This window comes from Homo sapiens, chromosome 7 (assembly GCF_000001405.40).
Source record: "Homo sapiens chromosome 7, GRCh38.p14 Primary Assembly".
Lineage (NCBI taxonomy): Eukaryota > Metazoa > Chordata > Mammalia > Primates > Hominidae > Homo > Homo sapiens.
Genome location: NC_000007.14, coordinates 157,772,457 through 157,795,651, shown reverse-complemented (window position 1 = coordinate 157,795,651; position 23,195 = coordinate 157,772,457). Strand labels below are relative to the sequence as shown.

Below are 23,195 nucleotides of genomic sequence, written 5' to 3'. Positions count from 1 at the left end.
TTATCAATAGCTTGAAAATGAATCAAGTTCCCTGAATAAACATGAGGTCAACCTCAGCAACGTTAGTTTGGGCAAATGTCAGAGCAAGCACAGAAAGTGGCTGGAAGGACTTTCTCATGCGACTTGTAAATAAATGACTGCCGAGTACAGAACTCCAAGGGCCACAGATAGACAGCACCTTGGGAAGAGGTTGAGAGTTAAAGAGCAGTGGTTCCCAGCCTCAGCCCCCTGGGGAGGGTGAGCAAACAGACGGTGCTGAGGCCCCATGTGGAGTCGGAGATTTTGCAGGCTGTGGCTGGGGCCCAGCTTTGCTGCAGCTCCTGGGGGCCTCCCAGGTGCATAGGTGAGGGGCTTTTAGTTTGAGCACCCTCCCTCCTGCCAAAGTGCCCCCTAGATGCACAGGTGAGGGGGCTTTGAGCTTGAGTCCCCCTCCCAGGTGCCACCCAGGTGCACAGGTGAGGGGCTTTTAGCTTGAGCCCCCCCCGCCCCCGACCCCGCCGAAGTGCCTCCTAGATGCACAGGTGAGGGGGCTTTGAGCTTGAGCCCCAGGAGCCTCCCAGGTGCACAGGTGAGGGGCTTCAAGCTTGACACCCCCACCCCATCCCCAGGTGCCTCCCAGGTGCACAGGTGAGGGGCTGCGACGCACAGGGATCCATGTCTTAGAGGAAGTTTCAATACTTTATAATTGCATCCCCGCTAAGTGAGGGAAGCACTCTGGCCTCTTTCACATGGAAATCCCTCCTCTCTGAGGACCGAGGTGATGTGCTTTAGCATGACAATGAGTGCAGGCAGATATGAAGTATTTTGTGATTTAAATTTTGCTTGTGATATTTCAAAGAGGTTTCCTCTGGAAAAGGTTACTGGGAGAGAAGGTAGCTCACTGTTCTGCTGGTGAGCTGTCTCCACAACTCCACACATTTATCGTGGTTTCAGGCTGGGTGTCTTCAGGCTCCTTGAGCTGCTTTGCAGTAAGTGACACAATAAAAAATGTAAAATACAGAAGGCACCCACTTTTCCCACTTACGGTTTTAGTGGGTGTTCACAGAGGCGATGAAGAAATGAAATCCCCACATTTAAACAAAGCGGAGAGTGACAGTGAGGGTGATAGTCCTATTGTATAATTGCCTCCTTTGACTCAGAGAGGGAGAGCCTATTTTCATACTTATCCGAAAGCAGTGAAGCTTCAAAGAATAGGGGCAGACACAATGGGCTTTCAGAGGGAAGCTGCCATCGTCGACGCTATAATTGGTCACCGCACTGCCCGAGTGCCCGTAGGCCGGCCAGACGCAGAACCGGAAGTGCAGGCAGCCTGGGTGGAGCAGGGAGGTGTGAGCCCGGGTCAGAGCAGAGAACGAGGGGAGGTGTGAGCCCGGGTCGGAGCAGAGAACGAGGGGAGGTGTGAGCCCGGGTCGGAGCAGAGAACGAGGGGAGGTGTGAGCCCGGGTCGGAGGTGTGATCCCGGGTCAGGGCAGAGAACGAGGAGAGGTGCGAGCCCGGGTCAGAGCAGAGAACGAGGGGAGGTGCGAGCCCGGGTCAGAGCAGAGAATGAGGGGCGAGACACAGGCGGCCCCCTCCCGGCCACCTGGGCCCCGAGCTTGTCCTGGGCCCCTCGAGGTGTGCTGCCGAGGCCCGAAGGTGGCCTGGAGGGTGGGGACCCGGGAAGGGGCTGTGGGGCCCTCAGCGTGGCCTCAGAAACACCGAAAGCCTTGACCTCAGACCTGGCTCTGGCAGAGAGGGGGCCGAGGGAGGCAGGTCAGCCCTGGGGTCCCTGCAAGGCGGAGGAGGCAAAGGAGGAAATTGACTTCTGCCTGGAGGTCAGGAGATTACTGCTTCTAAGCCATGGGAGGAGAAGGGGACAGAAACACCCCTGTGTGGTGCCAGGGGTGCCACGAATTATGCCATTCAGGCCTCCAGTGGATCTATACGTGGCCCTGGGGGACGGTGTCTCCTAGAGGCTCCGAGCTGCTGACAGGACACTTAAAACCCAGAGAAGCCAACGTGTTTTCCACGTGTGGCAGAACTCACCATTGCTCCTGACAGCCGGAGGGCGAGCATGTGAGAATCCCACGTGGGAATGAACCACGAGCATCCACCCATCCCACCCCGGAAGAGGCACCACGCCCCGCCCTTGCCCCCACCCCAGGGTGAAGCCACGGGCCCTGGAGGCCCCTCAGATCCTTTCCTCCCCCAATTTCTGTGATTCTACTTATAATTTGAACAATTCAAGGGTCAAACTCCACCTCTAGAAACGTGCATACTCACAGGGTACACAGGGGGTCCACAGAGCACCCCAAAATGTAAAGGTTATCACCGCCGCGAGGGTCATCTGTGACATGGAGACCAACCTCTGCCATCTCACGTAATGAAACACCTTTAGAAAACCTTACAATTTTTGTTCATCTGCCACATTCTTTTCAGCAGAAACTGTGTTTGCTCTGCAGAGGGAACAGCAGGGGACTCTCGGCTGGGTGCCTGTGCCTGAGCCCGTCCTGGGCAGCTCCAGGCCCTCATTCTCCCGACCACAACCGCAGCTGCAGATGCAGCTGCGCCCCCTTCCTCTCCCCGGGCACAGCGCATTGTAGAGGGGTCCCATTAATTCTGAAAAAAAGCCTTACAAGATAGATAGAAAATTTATCTCATTTATTTAAGCTCATCACTGCTGATTAATCCCAAACTGGGGTCCCTTGCCTCCACTTTAGAAAAAGAGATGAGTTTTAAACTCGGCACCCGCGGCCCTGGGAGATTGATCCGCCCGGTCATGCTTTGAAGTTGAAGCGCAGTGCCCATCGATTGCACACATTAAATGACCAGCCACGCTGTAGAACGTACAGCTCATGAATAAGAAGTACCCAAGCCCTCCTAGTCACTGGAAAGCCTCAGGTCCAGCCATCACGGGGCAGCCTCCGGGTGGCCCATCTGCGGGCTGTAGGAGCAGAGACCCCCGGCCCCAGCCTGGGCAGACGTCTGTCGTGCAGTGTGGCCAGCGGACAAGCCTGCTTTCCTCATTCGCTTACAAGGTGTTCTGTGAGCACCCAGCTTCCCCAAGGTCCTACTGAGTTGCTTGGGACACTGGGGAGCAGGCAAAGACGACTAGCAGATGCCCTGGACGTGCAGGAGCCGTGCCATGTGGGATCCCCACCCCCGAAAACACACCCTCGAGCTGAAGGCAGCTGGTGCTGGGACGCGGAGACCTCGGCTGAGCTCCCTGGGGGTGGAGATGGGCTTCTCTCCACTGCTGGCTAATGTCCGCCAGAGCCACAGCAAAGAGGGGACCCAGGAGAGGTGGCCCCGGGGAGCTGAAACTCAGGGAGATGGCCCAGGGCTGGGCTGGCCTGAGTATAGCAAGTACGCTGCACACCAGGCGCAGATGCCCCGCTGCGGGCGCCTGGCCTCTCCCGCGGCTTGCTGGCTCAGTGCGGGCTGCAGGTCAGAGGCCACACCTTGCAGAAGGCAGATGGGAACGCGAGCCCCACCCCATGAGGCAGCTCAAGATGATCTGTAAGAGTCACTCGATTGAGCGGCATGAACGGGGAGGGGGCTTCATAAGGCCAGAGAGTTCCAGGCAGGGGCCACTTCGCCCAACTTTGACAAACTGGCAGTGTGACCCCCAGAGGGGAAGGACAGGCTCTCCGGGCAAAGGGGACTCCTCCATGACAGGCTGGTTTTATTTTATCGAAGCACTTCGTGGAGGCCTGGTCGGCAGGAAAAGCCGCACATATTTTCCGTACATATCTTCAGGATTTTGGGGATCCGCGTGCGCCCCTCTGATCTGCCCTCTTGGGTGCGCTCCGAGCGTGCTGCACGGCGTTGCTGGCTGTAGGTGCGATACCCTCCAGGTCCTCAGGAAACATGGTCTGTACCAGAAACCTCCTAGGAGAACGCTTTGTGTTTGTGACATAACAAATGTAAGCATTTTTGATGTTCAAAGTCCTCTCTCAAACTTTTTTTGTTGCCAAGTGAATGTAAAATCCAGAGGATGCTCTTGGTCGAGAGGGTGACTAGGAGACGTGTGGATGAAGCCCCAGAGCCCCTCCGCTCTCACCACCCTGAGTAGGGCAGGTGGGTGCAGGGAGGGGGGGCGGGTGCAGGGAGGGGGGGCAGGTGGGTGCAGGGAGCGGGGGCGGGTGCAGGGAGGACAGGCAGGCTGGCGCCAGGCAGGCGTGTGGAGGCGGGACCCGGGCACATACATGCATCCGCCTGCACCAGTCCCGACCTCAGAGCCAAGCCCAGCGGCCGCTCCGCTTCCCAAGCACGTAAAACACGCCAGGCACGAGAATATGTGGACGCGGGCGCTTATTTCTTGTTGAATTTTGTTCTGTTCTGTTTTCAAACATGGAATCGGGTGTTGCATCGTGTTCCATGATTTGCTGAAAATACTTAACAAATACGAAACTGTGGAATATCTTTTCTTATCACAGCAAATGGACGTATCTCATTCTTCTTAGTCACATAAAATATTTAAATACCCTCCGCGAGAGCTTGTTTGCCACTCATTTATTTGCTGTTGCAGGCGATGCCAGAGTGACTGTTCTCATACACATACATGCACTTATGCTATAATTCTTATCAATTAGATTATAAGAAACGGGATTTTTTTTGCTCATAAAGTATGTGCATTTTTATTGCCAAATTACTTTCCAAAAAGGCTTTATCAGTTTGCATGTGCAACAGCAGTATATTAAAAAAAGTTATTAAACCTTTTAACGTTTACCAATGTGATGGTGTTAACTTTTGATTTTTTAATCATTACAGAACGGAATGTCTTTCATGTACTTATGTCTTCCCCTGAGCTTCACCCGAGCAGAGAAAATGCTCCTGGACCCTGTTTCCTCACCAAGTTGTAGGAGCTATTTGTCTATAGGAAATAGCAAACTTTTAATACTTCTGGATTAAAAAAAATAGCTTAGGTTTTGTGACAACTTGAACCCAAGATTAAAAAGTATTTTATATTTTCTTCTAATTATCTTATGGTAAATTGTTTATTATTTAGATTTTGACCTATCTGACTTTTTAATATTGGAATCTCACTTCATTTTCTTACACAATTTCCCACTTGTGTTTATCGGGTGGATTTTTTCTGTACCCACGGGTTTGAAATGCCCCCTTCGTCATACACTCCAGGCCCTTGTGTTGTCACGTTCATTCCTAGACCATCTGTTTTGTACTACTGGTCTGAACGCTGATCTTCACGCAAAACACGATTTAATACCTGCAGGAGCGCCCGGTCTCCTTCCTGTGCCCCCAGATTGCTTGACAGTTCCTGAGCATGTACTCCAGGACCTGAACCCAAACCACCTTTAGAACCAAGTTAATGACATCCTGCCACCCCCGCACCACACACACACACCACCATACACACACCACACACATTCACACCACACAAACACCACACACACACCCCCACCACAGACACACACACACACCACCATACACACACGTCACCACCCCACGCACCACACACACACACCACCATACACACACCACACACACCACATTCACACCACACACACCCCCACCACACACACACCACACACACACCACCATACACACATGTCACCACCACACACACCACACACACACACCACACATTCACACCACACAAACACCACACACACCCCCACCACACACACATTCACACCACACAAACACCACACACACCCCCACCACACACACACCACCATACGCACATGTCACCACCACACACACACCACATACCATACACACACAACATACCACACACACAGCACCACACATACCACACACATACCTGCACACATACTACACACACCACATACACATCACACCACATATACTACACACACAAACATACCACATACTACACACATCACACACACACCACACACATACCATATACACACACACCACACATATACCCCACACACACCACACATGTACCCCACAGACACACACACCATACCACACACACCACACACACATACCCCCACACACATACATGCACACATACCACACACACATATCACACCCACATTTCACACCACACACCACATACACACACACTGTCAAAGGCTGGGGACCTCAGGGGACCACGGAGCCACCTGGTGTGTGGCTGAATTCCCTTGTTGTCAGGTAACACTTTTGAAGAGAAGCCCAGGCCGCCCCTTTTCTCTCCGGCAGAGACCTGACCCTGGAGGCCTCCCACGAGCCTCCTGAGAGCTGAATTTCTGAGGCTCATGAAGCCCGAAACCCAGTCTCTCTGACCTTGTACAAGATGTCTGTGCCCAGGGGGCCTGGATGTCCCAGGGTGGGTCTGGCTGCCCCGGGACCACCAGGAGGGAACGTGCCCAACAGGCAGCTTAGAAACAGTAGAAGCCAGCGGCACCGGGCGGGGAGCTTCTCGAGGGAGCGGAGAGTACAAGGCCCAGCCAGTTTTGTTGTGTTGCTTTCAAAGTGTCCTTCAAAGGTGAACCAAATTCATCCCGGAAGCATCTGACTTCATCTGTCACCAAAGAGGACCAGCCCGCCGGAAGACAGTGATTTCCCCCATCAGGTGTGGGCATTACCTAAAGTTGCTGACCTCCTAGAATTTTTGTGACGCTCTCTAATTCTAGCAATTTAGCTCAAATCCTACCATTCTGACTGTCCTGTAGTGACTGTTACGGTGACAGCTTGGGAAATGGAGGCAGGAAGGGGCGTGAGCTCCGTTCCTTGGGGAAGGTGTGGGTTTCGCCTCTGTGAGAAAGGAGATGGCTCCAGGGAGCTATCCCCAGCATTGGAGAGGTGGTTCCAGCGGCCTCCAGCATAGCAGAGATGTGGCCCCGGCTGCCTCCCACATGGCAGAGAAGTGGGCCGGCAGCCTCACGTGTGGCAGAGGGCTGGCCCCAGAAGCCTCCCCTATGGCGGAGATGTGGCCCCCGAGGCCTCCCGCGTGGCAGTGGGGTGGCCCCGGAGGCCTCCTGCATGGCAGTTGGGTGGCCCCAGAGGCCTTCAGAGCACACATCTTCCCCGCATAGCCCAGCAGGGCTGCATGCCTGGGAGCTGGGCTCCATGTGGCTTCTCATGGTGGGAAATCTGCCTTCTAGGCCCTTCCTAGGGGTGACGACTAAGAGGTCGTGGGGGACTCTTTGGAGCTTGGGGACTGCTCCAGCCCCGTGGAGGCCTGTGGAGAGCTCCTCCCTAAACCAGGATGGGTTCTGGTCACGTTGGTTGATGGCACACTTCTCCCAGGGTCTCCAGACAGCAGTGTCTTGCCAAGGAGGCTGAAAGCTTCCTGTACTTTCTTTTTTTTTTTTTTTTTTGAGATGGAGTCTCATTCTGTTTCCCAGGCTGGAGTGCAGTGGTGCAATCTCAGCTCACTGCAACCTCCGCCTCCCAGGTTCAAGTGAATCTCCTGCCTCAGCCTCCCCAGTAGCTGGGACTACAGGCTCATGCTACCACACCTGGCTACTTTTTTGTACTTTTAGTAGAGACGGAGTTTCACCATGTTAGCCGGGATGATCTCGATCTCCTGACCTCGTGATCCGCCCGCCTCAGCCTCCCAAAGTGCTGGGATTACAGGCATGAGCCACCGCGCCCAGCCTCTTCCCTGCTTTTTACTGGTTCTTCTCTTCTTTGGCAGAACTCTGTTTGAACACTGGGATTTGCGAATGGCAGAGAGGCTGGGTCTGGCTTGTGTCGGCCTCCAGGCCCCGGCTGCGTGGTTCCCAGGGGACCCGGTGCTGGCTCCCCATTGTCCAGACCTCCAGGCCTGTCAGTGTCTTGGGGACGTCGATGTTGCCAGCAGCTTTTATCCACTGGGGGTGCAGAGGTGTGAGGGAGATGCCAAGAGGGGAACAGCCCACCCCAGCCCTTGGCAGCTTGGACGGGGCCCCCAGGTGCCTCCCCCAGCCATGAGCACAAATGAAGTCCGAGGGAAAGATGGGGCTGGGCTCACCCAGCCACCACCCCAGGGGACCCAGATGGCACCAGCTCAAACACCACCCCGTCTCCCACAGAGCAGGTGTTCAGGGTGTCCCAGGGAGGCCCCGGTCAGTGTGAAATGCATGTCCTTGTCCTCCAGGTCACGGCCACTCTCCTCTGCCTCTCTCTCTGTGGGGTCGCCTACAAGACATGAAGGACAAGGAGAGAAGCAGGACGTGAGGCCCAGGGGCTCTCCTGGCCCCCTAGACTGTGGGGAAGCCCCCTGCCCGCCCTGCCCACTGGGGTGACCCAGGCACAGCAACAGCTGGGAGTCCACGCGCCCCCCAGGCCCACCGGCTGCTGCGCCAGACTTTCTATGGCATCTTCAGATGTCACTCCCAGCAGAGGCCAGACCCCCTCCTGTCGCAGTTTCCATCAAGGTGGGGCCTGGAGGCCACGGATGAGCCCCCTTGCTCACCTGATCCCCGACACCCCAGAGGGGTTGTGGGCATCCACTGGCACGCGGGGGTCATAAGTGGCATCCAAGTGGGTTTCCCACGAATTGCTTCCAGAAGAGCCAGTCCCGGGCAGCCACCCCCGCGTCCCCCGCCGCACCCGCGTCCGCCTCCCGGGCAGCCACCCCCGCGTCCCCCGCCGCACCCGCGTCCGCCTCCCGGGCAGCCACCCCCGCGTCCCCCGCCGCACCCGCGTCCGCCTCCCGGGCAGCCACCCCCGCGTCCCCCGCCGCACCTGTGTCCGCCTCCTGCCCCTCAAGCTGTCCCAGGCTCAGTGGCTTCCTCAGGCCATGGGACCTACAGCTGACACTGGCACTCTGTGTGCGGTGGTGCAGACAGCACTGTGGGATGTGCCAGAGCTGCTCCCTGCACTTCCCACAGTGGGCACTGAGCTCTGGGCACTGGGCAGGCAAGGCCAAAGCCGCTGGAATGTGCCACCCACCTGATGATGAAACCACAGCAGGCTGAGGTTCTGTGAGTCTTACGCGTTTTTAAATGTGGCTGTTTCTCTTCTAAATGTTACCGCTGCCACATGAATTCATGTTTCCAAACACATTGCAATGAGAGGGTGCTTTCTGCACGGATGTGGCCTGGTGTGGCCCTCACCGGCAGCGCCTCACCGTCCTCTATCTCTGGGGACCATAGTGAGGCTCCTGAGAGTGGGAGCGAGCCCGGTCCTCACCCCGTCACCAACTACCTGGGGACAGCCACTCTGTGCTTCCAGCCTCAAGGGACTCACGCTGTGGACAAGCCCAGTTTCCAGTGCCATCCACAGCTGGGACAGTGCCCAGGAGTGCTTTGTGAATGGGACGAAGATCACAGCAAATGAGCCCACCTCTGGGGGCTTTTCCCAGAAGTACAATAAATAATCTTCCTTCTTAGACTTCATGGTCCTTAAACTTTATAACAATTCAGATACTTAGGCAGTTTTTCAAAACATGTTGATTTAAATAAATACTGAACTAGCACTAAATGCTGGTGAGAAAACCAGCAAGACTAAAGCCAGGATACGTGAACGGTACCTGTGGGGCCCTAGGTGCTAGTCCTGGTTAATATTACCTGTGCCGTTCCCCGTGTGGTTTGTGTGAGCAGGGAGAACCCCACGCAGGGCTGGCCCGAGGGCCTGGGATCCACCCCACAGCAAAAGCGCTCAGCCAGCTGAAGCCCTTGGCGCGCACTCGGAGTGCGGCTAACGCTCGTGCCCCACAGGGGGCAGAGGAGGCCAAACAGCAGGGGCCTGGCACTTGCACGGGACCATCTCTCCTGGGAGCAGCAGCACCCAGAGCCGGCCCAGGGGGTCCCTGCAGCCATCCCCACCCGGCCCTCCCACCCTGCTACCCAGGTGAGCAGGCTGGTGAACACGCACACAAAAAAAACCAGTGATTATGAACTCCAGGAAAACCTCCGCTGTTGTGCAGAAGGGAAAACGCAGGCTTCAGCTGGGCCCCCTGCGCGTCTCAGCTCCCAGCCGGGCGTGGCAGCTGCTAGACTGTGTACCTGGAAAGGATCGCGATTCTTCTCCCCTCCCGCCATGCTTCCCAGGCCGGCCCCATGCCCATCTCTGAGCAGGCTCCCCCTTGGTGTGCTGTGCCCACGGTCTCCGTCTCTGCCCTCTGCCCACCGTCTGCAGAAAGCAGGGACCCTGGTCCTGGGAGAAGCTTCCCTCCATGTCTGTCCAGTGTAGACTGTTCAGATTTCAGCAGAGACCAGGTTTGCGGATGGCACCCAGGCAGGTCGCAGGCGCTCTGGTCCTGGGGAGGCCTGCCCGCGAGTGCTGGCTCTAGTCTGGGAGTGGGGCCGGCCTGGGGCCCCTCTGAGCCCTGCCCCAGGCTCCAAGGCCTTTTCCACCACCCCCTTTCATCCTCGGGGGCGATTTCGTTTTGGAGCACCGTGGTCTGTTTTCACTCAGTGGCTTTGGGGTTGGGGGGACCCGCGGCAGCTGTGGATCCACCGTCACCATAGAGTGTGGATTTACACCACTGGCCTTGGCGCCCCAGACAGGGCAGGCCGCACCCCGGTGCAAGCCTGTGGGGCGGGGCGTGTCCCCACGTGGGCCCGGGTTATCCTGCTCCATGCCAGAGCCCCTGTGGAGAGCCTGTGCTGGCTGCTTCTCGGTGTTCGGTCAGCCTTCTCGCCGCTGTGCCAACATTCTGGAAACACACACACAGCTTTGTTCAACTCCTATGACGACGCGATGAAACAGCGGCTGTAACAGCCGTTACAAGTGGAAAAATGGAAACTGAAGAGACCGCGTGACCTCAGCCGCCTGGACAGAGGGCCTCGGCTCCCTCTGCTCTCCTCTCCAGCCCCACTGCTCACCTGGCCACTGGGGAGGGGCGCGTTTCCTCAGAGAAACAGCTGCCCACCCATTTGAACAAGTCCAAAAATATCTTGACCTTATTACTTGTCCAGGCCCCCTGGGCCCCTATGTCGCCCCACACGATGGGTTCATTTCCTTCCATTAGCTGCAGAGAGGCCGGGTGTGGGGTCAGGGTTTGCGGTGAAATGTCGAGACCCAGGGGGCCCTCGGTTTGCACTGCCACGGGATCAGCTCAGCCCCTGCCCGTTTCATACGGGATCAGCCCAGCCCCTGCCCGTTTCATACGGGATCAGCCCAGCCCCTGCCCGTTTCATATGGGATCAGCCCAGCCCCTGCCCGTTTCATGGGTCAGTTGCTCTTCAAGCCCTTTGTGGAGAGGAGGGTCAGGCCGAGCGGGATAGGGCTTTCTCTCCAGCGCTGAGGCTGAGGCTGAGGTGGTTCCTGCAGGGCAGGAAGGTTCCCGCAGCCACAGCTTTTGCAGGTGAGGCTGGACCCAGCCCTGAGCCTTGTGGGCGCTGCTGCAGGTCGGCATCTTGCTAGGAGCACCTCCTCCAGTGTGAAGCAGCAAACGAGCCCCGGGTGAAGGTTCGAGGGGCTGCTGAACCGCCCCCCTAATCCGTCACTGTGCAGATGCTGAGACCCCAGAGGTGGGGGCAGGCCCCCCACTTGGCCTCCTGAGACCTAGTTGGTGCCTTTCCAACTAGGCCAGGCTGACTCACGAGCTGCTCTGGGCCAGAAGCCACGTGGTAAGATTGGTCCCTGGCCTAACGTTGAGCTGCCTGTGCCCTGCCCACAAGCAGAATTTAGGAATAGTCCCTGGAAGCAGAACTAAACACACCCATCCCAGCTTCCTTCTCCTCCTCTGCACTTACACCATGAGTGTCTCTACCTTGAGAGACTTAAACTCCAACCATGTGGGAAATGTTTCAGCCACTCATCCTGAATTTACTCCTGTGGGACAGCAGCTGCGCTCTGCTTGAAAGAGTAAGAGATGGAATATCCTCCATTCAACCAGCCTCCCAGCCCTCTGGAAAGACACCTGCCTTCCTGGTTTCACTTTTCTTCTTGAATGAAAACAGGGCAGTGTTCAAGCCTCAGAGGGCCTGGAGCAAAGATGAAATGTGAACAGCCTCCGGAGGAAATCACTCAAAAGTAGGGTCATACGAATCCACATGGGAAAGTCCCTGTTCCGAGTAAGTGGGAGTGGGGCGGGAGGCTGAATCCAGGACCCACAGGTGGGACAGGCCTTCCTGCCAGGGCGTCTTCTCTGCTGTTTCAAGAGGGCTCCTGGAATCTTGTTTACTGCCATACTTTTCTTTGCAGAACTTTTTATAGCCAGGATCGGTCAACTTTAGTATGGACTCCGCTGGCCCCTGCATGCTCAGAATTAGTGGAGTTCTTAGTAAGATGACTTCATACTAGATTAAATAAGCACAAGGTAATGTTCAGGATTGTGGGCTGTCAGCTCCTCTTGGGCCAGCAGTGCCGAGGAACATCAGGCTCAGACATGCGTTCGATGAACCTTCCTAGGTATGGATGGACGTATGTCCCAGGCTGTGTGGTGAGGACCCTCCCGGTGTGCTGTGCATGGGAGTGTCCATTGTGCATTACATATTCAGATGGGAACGTGAGTAACAGGCCACGTGTCACAGCACCGCCAAGGCAGGTGTATTCGTCTGTTCTCACGCTGCTAATAAAGACACACCCAAGACTGGGTAATTTATGAAGGAAAGAGGTTTAATGGACTCACAGTTCTGCAGGGCTGAGGAGGCCTCAGGAAACTTACAATCACAGCAGAAGGGGAAGCAAACATGTTCTTCTTCACGTGGCGGCAGCAAGGAGAAGTGCCGAGCAAAGGGGGAAAAGCCCATGATAAAACCGTCAGATCTTGTGAGAACTCGGTCACTATCATGAGAACAGCATGGGGTATCCACCCCTGTGATGCAATTACCTCCCACCAGGTCACTCCCCCAACATGTGGGGATTATGGGACAATTCAAGATGAGATTTGGGTGGGGACACAGTCAGACCATGTTAGCCAGCCAGCACCGAGTGCACTCAAGGCTCCCCGAGTCAAGCAGCCAGCACATTCTGTCATCCCAGCGCCTCTACTATTTAAGGAAAGAGAGCAAAGCCTTTATTTTCATTGTCCATTTTCCTCTGATTCCTCTTTCCAAACTGGGCATTTTTGTGCTGGAAAGAAATCCTGAATGTTGATGCGATGCTGTGTGATCATCTCTTGGGTAGTCATTTTCCAAATAATTTCTTGGAGTACCGACACTCGTCGTTCTTTCAGGGACCCCTGGGGGCAGTTGGTATATTATACATGTATGAGTTTTTAGATGGCTCCTCTCTCTCAGGTTATTTCTGCTGTTTCTGTTAAGATTATAGACAACATAACTGGGATGTGTGATTTCATAGGTTGACCCTGATCAGCTTCCCATGCCTGGATGATCAGTAAGAAGCCCTGGACCCCCTCTGTGGAGGGCGGGCTGCAGCTCCTACCCTTAGAGCTGATTCACCGTTTTCAGATACTGGGGCCAAACCGGCCCTCCCAGACGCCTGCTGGAACCGATTCCGCCTGGCACTGCATGCATCCCAACCCGGGGCCCCATTAATTCTCGGATGCCTGAGTCCAGACCCACTTAGCGTGGTTGACTGGAGCCTGTGCCAGGGCTGAGCTCATGAGCTGAATTCTTACATGAACAAATTACTTGCAGTTTGGTCTGTGGCTTTGCACTGCACACCTCTGTGGCCGCCCCTCAGCATGGGGTCTACGGTCCTGTGCAGAGCAGGCGAGGCCTGGGTAAGCCATCAGGGCAAATCCACCCACACCTTTGGCAAAGCCAGCCCAGGTCTATTCCCTAGGGACAGTGAAAGAGATAGCATAGGCGAGGCCATACCTGTGTGCCCGCACCTGGGAACCTACTCCCGTCTGTGGCAAGCTTGGAGGACAGTGGTGGCTGAAAATGCAGGAAGCTTCTCAGGCATATGGGCATCTGCCTGAAGCTGCTGTGTGGGCATTTCACATCCACCCCTGAAAGCCCAGAAAGGGCTGACAGCTGCTGCCAAAGTCAGTGGGGTGTGGTTTGCCACAGAAGTCAGCGACAGCAGTGGGATGTGATTTGGAGCTGGCTGGGAGGCTGGGGCAGGGTATTGAGGCTGAAGTAATATACGTTTTGGGTACTGTGAAGTCAGATGACTTGATAAAGATGCAGAAATAACGATTTGACTGAGGGCAAGAAAGCAACCTGGGAGGAAGCTGGGTCAGCTTGTCCTCAGTCAGGAAGCTTCCGCCATGCACCATCCAGGAGCTCTCCCAGCTGCACGCTTCATACTCGAACTTGTATGAGATGGGAACCCATGACAATAAAACCAGGCTCTCTGGGATAGTATTGAAAAAGTGGAAGTTTTCTTAGTACAGATTCATCTCACCTTGAAGTCTGAGAGCAGACCCAGAAGAATTGATTGCAGTGGTCGAGTCTGGCCTGATTCGATGGTGTTTGCTGCATTTGCTGGGACCAGAAGAAGGGCACGCATGTTGTAAGCACTGTCCTCAAAGAGACTTGACATCAACAACTTGGCACAGGGAGGGTTAACTGTGTGTTATTCTGAAAATATGTTTTGGTCCGGACATGTCCAGGCGGTAATGTAGCAGACCCTCCACTTTGAGGAGATGATAATAACACTAGCCCATGTGTAATATATCAAATCAAAAGCAGCCGTGGACCTGGGAAGGACAGACTTTTCATCAAAAGGCCTGGTGCTGTGGGGTCAGGGCTGTGGCAGGGCAGTGCTCTGGCCATAGGACCGCAAGCACTACCACAGCCAGGCGAAGGGAGCCCTTGTCTTGTTCCGCAGAGGGGAGTGAGCATGGCTAGAAGGAGCCGCATGTGGGTGACGTGGGTGTGAGTGGACCAGGATGTGGGGTGATTGTGGCCGTGAGCGGCAGGAGGCCAGAGAAGGTTTGGCCTGGAGCTGCCTGGCTCAGGGGCTGCCCACTGCCTCGGTGGGGGTGGTGAGAGTTCAGGTGTGCACTGAGGAGAGAAGTGAAACCGACCTTTGGTTAGTGAGTATTCTGTCCTGATTGATCTGTGGGGACCCGCGGGGCAGCTCATCACGGATGAGGCAGAGAAAGCGAGTTTGGAGAGCTCGTCCACCTTGGCCCGGGGGCACATGCAAGCAACAGTGTCAAGTGCTCTCTCCGTGCTGGGTGTGGCCCCATCATGCATTCCAACATAGGGAATACCCGTGACCACCCTGCGAAATGGGTGAAGCCCCATTGTGCAAACAGGGAAACTGAGGCACAGAGGAAGGCAGTCCCTTGTCCAGGGGCCTCTCACGGTGAAGGCGTGCAGAGCCAGTACTGGAAGCCAGCAAGAGGGCTGCTGTATGCCTGACTTGGCTGCCACGGTCTGCACCATGTCGAGCTGCCTGTGGGGACAAGCGAACTTCAGTTGCTCTGGGCCGTGTTCCGCCATCTGATCCAGCAGCACGGCCCCTCCGCCAGCCAAGCCTCCTTCACACTCCTGAGGCCTCGCTGAGCAGCCGCCACCCCTTATATAAACTGACAGATATGGCTGGATGCTTCGACGTCACCTAAAGCTTCACCTTCAGAGTGTGCACTATCCCATCCTATTTCAGGTGTTAGCTGGGAGTGGGAAGGCCGTGTGTAAGGAGCAAGGGGAGCGAGCAAATGCCTTGCTCTGAGGAACGTCCTTGTGCTGGAGGTAGACCAGGAGGACACACGGCCCAGAGGCTAATTCTTTAATAGTAGAGATACGTGGTGGGATCATAAACAAAGACAGTTTCACGGGCTTTTGCTCGTCACTAGTGAGCCCTAATTATAAAGTATCGAATCAGAATTCAACTAGCCAAGCCATCATCAAAAACTCATAGCAGTTCATCAATAAGTGTGTAAAATCCTACTCTCCATGGACATTGTGGACCTTGGGAACTGGGGTCAGCATTTTTATTAACCCGTGTGGACACAGCAGTCTGAGAGTTTTCCATTCCTCGAGGGCTGCTTGCGGCGTGTTGTACGTCGATGGTATCAGTGGCGTCCCAGCCCTGCTTGGGAGGACACACACTGCTCATTTTCAGCAACCAGGGAGAATGAAATCACCCAGCACTCTTCCTCAGGCTGATGACCTCGGGGTGCCCTGGGTGACCCAGCCATAGGGTGAGCATTCAGGCCACAGCGCCTTCCCCAGACCCTCAGGACCCCTCATCAGGACATCCTTCTGGCCGGGGCCCCTCACCCCAGCTCGTCCTGGCCAGAGTCTAGGGTCAGCCTTTGTGCTTCGGAGACTCCTGCAGCAGGGTGAGAAGCAAGTTATTTAGACAGAGAAGGCAAGCACCGGAGACAGCCTGCCGCCCCCACCCTCCGTCGCCCTGCTGGGGACAACGTGGAGGGCACTGGCCTGAGGAGGGAATTTGGGGGTTCCTGCTGCCTGTCAGGATGTGGAGCACAGTGCAGCAGTGTGTGGTGAGGGGCAGCGGGTGGGCGGTCATTCTGGCAGCCTGCAGGGTCCCAGGAAACACGGTCTTCTTTGGTCAGATGAGAAGCAAGGCCTTGCTCAGCACAAGCGACCAGCACGTGACCTTTCACCTCAGGTCACCAAGAGTAGCAACAGTTAGGCCTCCTCCACCGAGCACATGCCTTGCTGACCTTGCCCAGGGAAGCCTGGCAGCCAGGGCGGGGCTCCCATGGCAAGGAGGCAGCCCTCCTCCAGGAGATAAGCCGTGTCCAGCATCCTCAATGTAGCGCTACTACCTCTATATGTAAGGCCTGCACCTGGTGACCTAAGTCAGGTTTTGCTTCTAGGTGGCATTTGCTTGAGGGTCCCAAGACCCCAGGGAGGGCACTGTCTGAAGACCCCGGCACAACCCCTCAGAGAACACGGCCACCTGGCTGTGAGCGGAGCTCTGCTTGAGCGCTGTGGCCCGTTTCCAGCATAAAGCAGGAAGTTCCTGGGACTTGAGCTGAGCACTGTGTGGCTTCATCATTGTTTTCAGAATGTGGTCTGTCCAGAGAGCAGTGGCATAGGAAGACATTGACTTGTTGCATATGTGGGCATTCAGCGCCTGTATTCACGTGGACATGTTTATGTGGGCATTCGGCGGCACCTGTATTCACGTGGACATGTTTATGTGGGCATTCGGCACCCGTATTCACGTGGACATGTTTACGTGGGCATTCGGCACCTGTATTCAGGTGGACATGTTTACATGGGCGTTCAGTGCATGTATTCACATGGACATGTTTACGTGGGCATCCAGTGCCTGTATTCATGTGTACATGTCTACATAGGCATTCGATACCTGTATTCACATGTACATGTTTATGTGGACATTCAACACCTGAATGCACATGTATGTGGGCATCCAACACCTGTATTCACATGTACATGTTTACATAGGCATTCGATACCTGTATTCACGTGTACATGTTTACATGGGCACCCAACACCTGTATTCATTCACCTGTGTACATGTTTACGTGGGCATTTGATGCCTGTATTCACATGTACGTGGGCATTCAACACCTGTATTCACGTGGACATGTTTACGTGGGCATTCAACAACTGTAATCACATGTACGTGGGCATTTGATGCCTGTATTCACATGTACATGTTTACGTGGGCATTCGACACCTGTATTCACATGTACTTGGGCATTCGACGCCTGCATTCACGTGGACATGTTTAGTCGTCAGCCTGAGCCATGCAGGCGGAGCGTTGGCTTTTGAGAAGGTCAGTTGCCTTCCTCACTTCCTAGCCTGTCCCCAGGGAGGAAAACAGGGAGTCTGTGTGTTCTTGGAGCTCTGGTGTCACCGCGGAGTTTGCTGTGCTCACTTTAGACTCTGGTTCTGTAACTTTTAATTCCTTCAGTGGTTCCTGTCTGAATTGGTTTTTGCTCTCGTTTGGTTTGAATTGGGGTATTTTTTTTTTTTTTTTTGCTGTGGTGTAAAGATTTTTCTAAAGGTCCTTTAATGTTATACAAGTCAATTATGCATCAATATTATGGATTAAACCATTTTCCTCAGCAGTGGTTGAAAGAAACTAGCTTTTCAGCAGACATCTTATTCTGGTGGATCTTTCAGTGCTTTTAAAGTAAATAACAATAAAGAAATTTTCATTTCTATTTCAAAGTTTTACTGTAGGCATTGCATGCAGACTGATTATAAATGAGCGAGCCTGCCCTTCCCACTGGGATGTGAAGTTCGCTGAATTATGTCAGCAGCCCAGGAATGACTGCTGTGCCTAAGCACACCTTCTGGCCCTAGCTCTGAATCCACATGTGTGAGAGGAGCATGCATGTCCCTGATGCAGCGGGACTGCCCTTTCATAGTGTCCGGGGGACAGGACATGACAGGCAGGATCTGCCAGAGCCTTGCTGCATCCCTGAGCTTAGCAGTGTGGGGCACTGCGTGTCCTCCGGCATCAGGAAGGCTGCGTCCCTGAGCTTAGCAGTGTGGGGCACTGCGTGTCCTCCGGCATCAAGAAGGCTGCATCCCTGAGCTTAGCAGTGTGGGGCACTGCGTGTCCTCCGGCATCAGGAAGGCTGCGTCCCTGAGCTTAGCAGTGTGGGGCACTGCGTGTCCTCTGGCATCAGGAAGTCACAGTGCATGGCCCCTTCTGTAACTCAGCGACCGACATGGGCGTGTTTCCAATTCCACTTGTATGTGTTTCTTGTGTATCTAACAAGAATTTGTGGATCTGTTTGAATGTGAAAAAAATGCAAGCATTCTCTAAAATTGAATTGTGTGTGGAGAAAATGATACTGAGGATAAAAGTGTTGAAAAGAGAACAGGAAAAGCGGAGAAAGAAAATGAGGGAAAGGAAGAGAGGAGGAAAAGAGGGAAAGCCACAGCACCAGAGGAGGGGAGTGGAGAGGTAGGGAGGAGGAGGAGAGGGAAGAGGAGGAGAGGGAAGAGGAGGAGAGGGAGGAGGAGAAGGAGAAGATGGAGGAGGAGGAGAGGGAAGAGGAAGAGGAGAGGAAGGACGAGGAGAAGAGCGAGGAGGAGGGGGAGAAGGAGGAGGAGATGGAGGAGGAGAGGGAGGAGGAGGAGAGGGAGGAGGAGGAGAGGGAGGAGGAAGAGAGGGAGGAGAGGGAGGAGGAAGTGGAGGAGGAAAGGGAGGAGGAGAGGGAGGAAGAGGAGGAGGAAAGGTAGGAGGAGAGGGAGGAGAGAGCATGAGGAGAGGGAGGAGGAGAGGGAGGCGGAGGAGAGGGAGGCAGGAGGAGGGAGGAGCAGAGGAGGGAGGAAGAGAGGAGGAAAAGAGGGAAAGCCACAGCACCAGAGGAGGGGAGTGGAGAGGTAGGGAGGAGGAGAGAGGAGGAGAGGGAGAAGAAGAGGGAGGAGGAGAGGGAGAAGGAGAGAGAGGAGGAGAGGGAGAAGGAGAGAGAGGAGAGGGAGAAGGAGAGGGAGGAGGAGAGGGAGAAGGAGAGGGAGGAGGAGAGGGAGAAGGAGAGGGAGGAGGAGGAGAGTGAGGAAGAGGAGAGACAGAGGAGGGAGGAAGAGGAGGAGGAGGAGGAGATGGAGGAGGAGGAGAGTGAGGAAGAAGAGAGAGGAGGGAGGAAGAGGAGAAGGAGGAGGAGGAGATGGAGGAGGAGGAGAGGGAGGAAGAGGAGAGGGAGAAGGAGGACAGGGAGGAGGTGAAGAGGAAGAGGAGGGAGGAGGAGAGGGAGAGGAGGGAGGAAGATGAGAAGGAGGAGGAGGAGATGGAGGAGGAGAGGGAGGAAGTGAAGGAGAGGGAGAAGGAGGACAGGGAGGAGGTGAAAAAGGAGAGGAGGGAGGAGGAGAGGGAGGAGGTGAAAAAGGAGAGGAGAGAGGAGGTGGAGAGGAGGGAGGAAGAGAAGAGGGAGGAAGAGGAGGAGGAGAGGGAGGAGGTGACGCCCCCTCCGCCTCACTCCTTGCCCACCTCCGAGTACACAGCTGGCTGCGGCTATCCCCCCGGGCCCAGCCCACCTATGCACACCTCTGAGTCTGCATTTTGCGGCGGTCTCCTCACTGACCATCCCTATAGCATCACAGAGACAGCGGCGTTACTGTAGGTCATGAACAGAAACGGCTCAAACAACTCAAGAAACACAGTTCTGGCCACGCCAGGCTTACTTGGTGAGCAGATGCCCTGTGAGGAACCCAGCCTGCAGGCCTGCGGGGGACACCATGACCCGGGCCTGGGGCAGGAAACCCTGGATGCCCCAGCAGGTACCCCAGGGCGTGGAGCTTCCGTCCAGGCTCCGTCCTGCCCTTGTGTGGGGACTGCCCCGAGGCTGCGCCCGCCTCAGCCCCACACCCAGGCTTGCTGTCCTGGGCGACTCCCTGCATGTGAGCGCCGGCTCCCGAGGACGAAGCCTTCCCAGCGCTGCTGTGTCCCCATGTGCCCCGGGCGTGCTCCACGCTCCTCTCCTCGAGGCATCGAGTCCTGTATTCAGGAAGCTTCTCACGCTGCCGCCTCCGCCCTGTGGGTTGAACTGCAAGGGTTTGTTTTCCTTCCATCCCTCGGCCCTGTCCATGCTGGTTGCACCTTCACTGTCCCCGTTATGCCTATGGGAGAATAGGGACTGCCCAGACCCAGCAGGGTGAGGTGAGGTAGCCTGGCCACTGCGGCTCATGAATTTGGGTGGAAACTGGGGTCCTGTGGATTTCTGTCCCTCTAAAGAGCAGCTCATATGACAGTAGCTGCCGCAGACCCGAAGGGTGAGAGCGAGTGGTTGCCACACACGGCGTCCTGCAGAGTGGCGCCATCTTCCCAAGTCACATCTGAGCCTACACTGCCGTGACGGAGTGAGGCGTTCCGAGACTGTTCGCGTTTTCATGAAACGTTTCTCCTTCCTGAGGACTGAGGGACTCCCTGGCATGTGGACGTTTTCAGGCCCTCAGACTCTGCTGACAGCAGTTAGGATGCAAGGCCACCTTCTCATCTTCCCTGACTTTGCTTTCATTGTGTCACTGTTCTCATCAAGAACTTTCAGAGACTCTGGCATGTAAGTAGCAGAAGAAGAGACCATGTTCCTTGACCAGTTATTATTTCAGGCCTTTTACCTCCACTCTGACTTGTCCTCATGGTTCCTCTAGAGGAAGCCTCCCCCGTCGGACTGGTCCTCTCATCTTTGGAAGCCTCCCCACTCGGACTGGTCCCCTCATCTTGGGCAGATTTCTACTTCCCATTGTTGACTCGAAGACCTCCCCTGTCGGGCGTGCCCTCTGCTGTACCATGAGGCTGAGTCACTCTGGGGTCCTGGATCCAGCCCAAGGCCAGCTTCCTAACCCCTTAACCGCAGTTACAGCTCTGAGCCCTGAGCCCACTTTTGCCGACACTGTCACCCTCCACGCACACTGTCTTGTGCACATGAGCCGGTGTGTGGTCTCACAACCTAGATTATGAACTGCGTGCAGAGATGGGGGGCTTACCATTTTCTTAAACTCACTGCAGCTCAACTTCCAGTGAAATCTTGGTTGGGAAGAATAATATTGACGTGGTTTATCCCTTCTAAACCCTCGCAGGCCCACCCTAGGATTCACCAGGCTTGACAGGCATGATGCCCAGGCCATGCTGGGCTCCTGCATAGCCATTTTTACTTGGCCTGAGGCCAGCAACCCTAGGCATTCCCTTGCCCTGTTGTATAAAGACATCATGGAGGATGGTGCATATTCTATTCAGCGCATCTCTGTGAGGACTCCTGGAACATTTCTTTTTTAATTTAAGAATAGCTATGATTTTCAAAAAATAGATTGTCTGTTTTTGTCATATAGACATTGTGGATCCTGTTCCTCTCTTCCCCGTGGCAGCTAGGGAGCTCACAGCCCCATCCGTAGCCAGCTCCTAGTAAGTAGGTCCGTGTCATGGGTTTTGCATACTAACCTCATTCTAGGCTCCAACTTATTTCCCATTCTTGTTTTCCCTATGTTTTCTTTTTGTCACCTCTTTTTAAATATGTGTTTACTTTGCTAACTTGTATGCATCTTTCTGGAATGAAGTGAGGTATAAATGAAAAAGCAAATTACTTAGTGCTCTGTATGACACTTAGGATGTGCTGTGTAGAGCTCTCAGTTGGAGTTTATTGATTCATTCACCAACTGACTTCAACTTGGATCAGTCCAGTTATTGTTACCATCATCACAAAGAGTCCAGAACTGGATGAGGCGGACACAAGCCCCACCAACCAGGACCTGGGGGCTGAGGTTCGGGAACAAAGACACCAATGGGCAGAGAAATTGAGGCTGAGGAAGATACAGCTCCAAGGAACAGAGGCAACACAGACAGAGGGAGGCACTGGGCCAAAGTCTGGGTGAGAGGGCCCTGGGCTTGGGTGGGAGGTACAGCAAGCCGCCTGGCCCCACAGCCCACTACATCTTTGTGAAGCTGATGTTGAGTGCATAGGGGCCCCTGGCCCTCGCAGCGGGCTGATGGAGAAAACTGAGCACGGGCTCTTCTCCCCAGATGAAGACACGGGTGGTGCTGGGAAGAGGCAGGTGGGCTTGAGCAAAGGCGTCTGTGGGGACTGCAGAGCTCGTCAGGGTAAGAGTCCCACGCATTGTAAGAACAGGTTTTCATCTCCTGGAGGTTGGGAGCCGCCTCTCTCCTGTTTGTTTTCTAGGCATGACTCCCACTCACAGAAGGGGCTGTGCTTGGTTTGTGCTTCTAATGTCCGCGTAGAGCTAAACCTCAGCTAAAGGCCAGCCGGAGCATGACCAAGGAGGCTTGTCCTGAAGAGAGAGGGGTCAGAAAAGCGGAGGTGGAGGACCCCTGCCTCCGTCTGCTGCGAGTGCCTAGAACGAGGTCCTCGCGATGAGCTGCTGGTTGGAAACTGTAGCATCTTGATGGTCCCAGCACTGAGGATGATGTGTGGACATCTGTGCAAGGCACCTTCTCACCCAGGCCTGGATCCAGTTCTGGGAGTTCTGGGAAGCTGGTTGTATCACTGCCCATTTACAGGGGAGCAGGCGGCCCAGGAAGACCCCGCCAGTACCCAGTGTACACCCGGAGTCGGCATGCAGCCTGGACCATATCACCCAGGCCTCCAGCTCCACGGCTCCAAGCCACACCCTGGACAGCCACCCGTGGCCTAGCAGCACATGGGACCTCGCACAAAGGAGCTGGGGCGCAGAGGCCAGAGAAGAAAGAAGATGCAAAAGCGACCAAAGACTCAATGTGTTTACGTGTTTGTTCAAAAAGATGTTCTCCCACCCCCCACAGGGGTCCCCCCAGACCCGGCCAAGAGACCCAACGCTGAGACCCAATGCCGAGAGCCTCGTGTGTCCTCTGGGGTCGCCCTGGGTGCCAGCTCCACCTGATTCATCCTAGAGAGAGTGTGGAGCTGAGGCCGCCCGCAGCAGGATTCGCCCAGGTCACAGTCGTTCACAGGCGGTTCCGGGAGCAGGAGCTGCACCTGGATCAGGGGCCTCTTTCCACTTCCTGCCCCAGGTCTCTGGGCAGCACTGAGCAGGACTCTGCTGGGCTCACACTGCAGC

At 55.2% G+C, this 23,195-nt stretch overlaps 1 protein-coding gene across 10 annotated transcripts in view, besides 1 other annotated feature; it reads left to right on the top strand.

The window, feature by feature from the left end:
- The window catches only part of PTPRN2 (protein tyrosine phosphatase receptor type N2), a 1,048,768-nt gene that overhangs the window by 792,172 nt on the left and 233,401 nt on the right, over positions 1–23,195 (top strand). The window lies entirely within an intron of this gene.
- Positions 1,558–2,119: an enhancer, noted in NCBI's record as "H3K27ac-H3K4me1 hESC enhancer chr7:157586225-157586786 (GRCh37/hg19 assembly coordinates)". NCBI's record gives its function as "activates a minimal SCP1, AML or CMV promoter by ChIP-STARR-seq in primed H9 embryonic stem cells {active_cell/tissue: H9 hESC(primed)}" and the evidence as "EXISTENCE:reporter gene assay evidence [ECO:0000049][PMID:30033119]".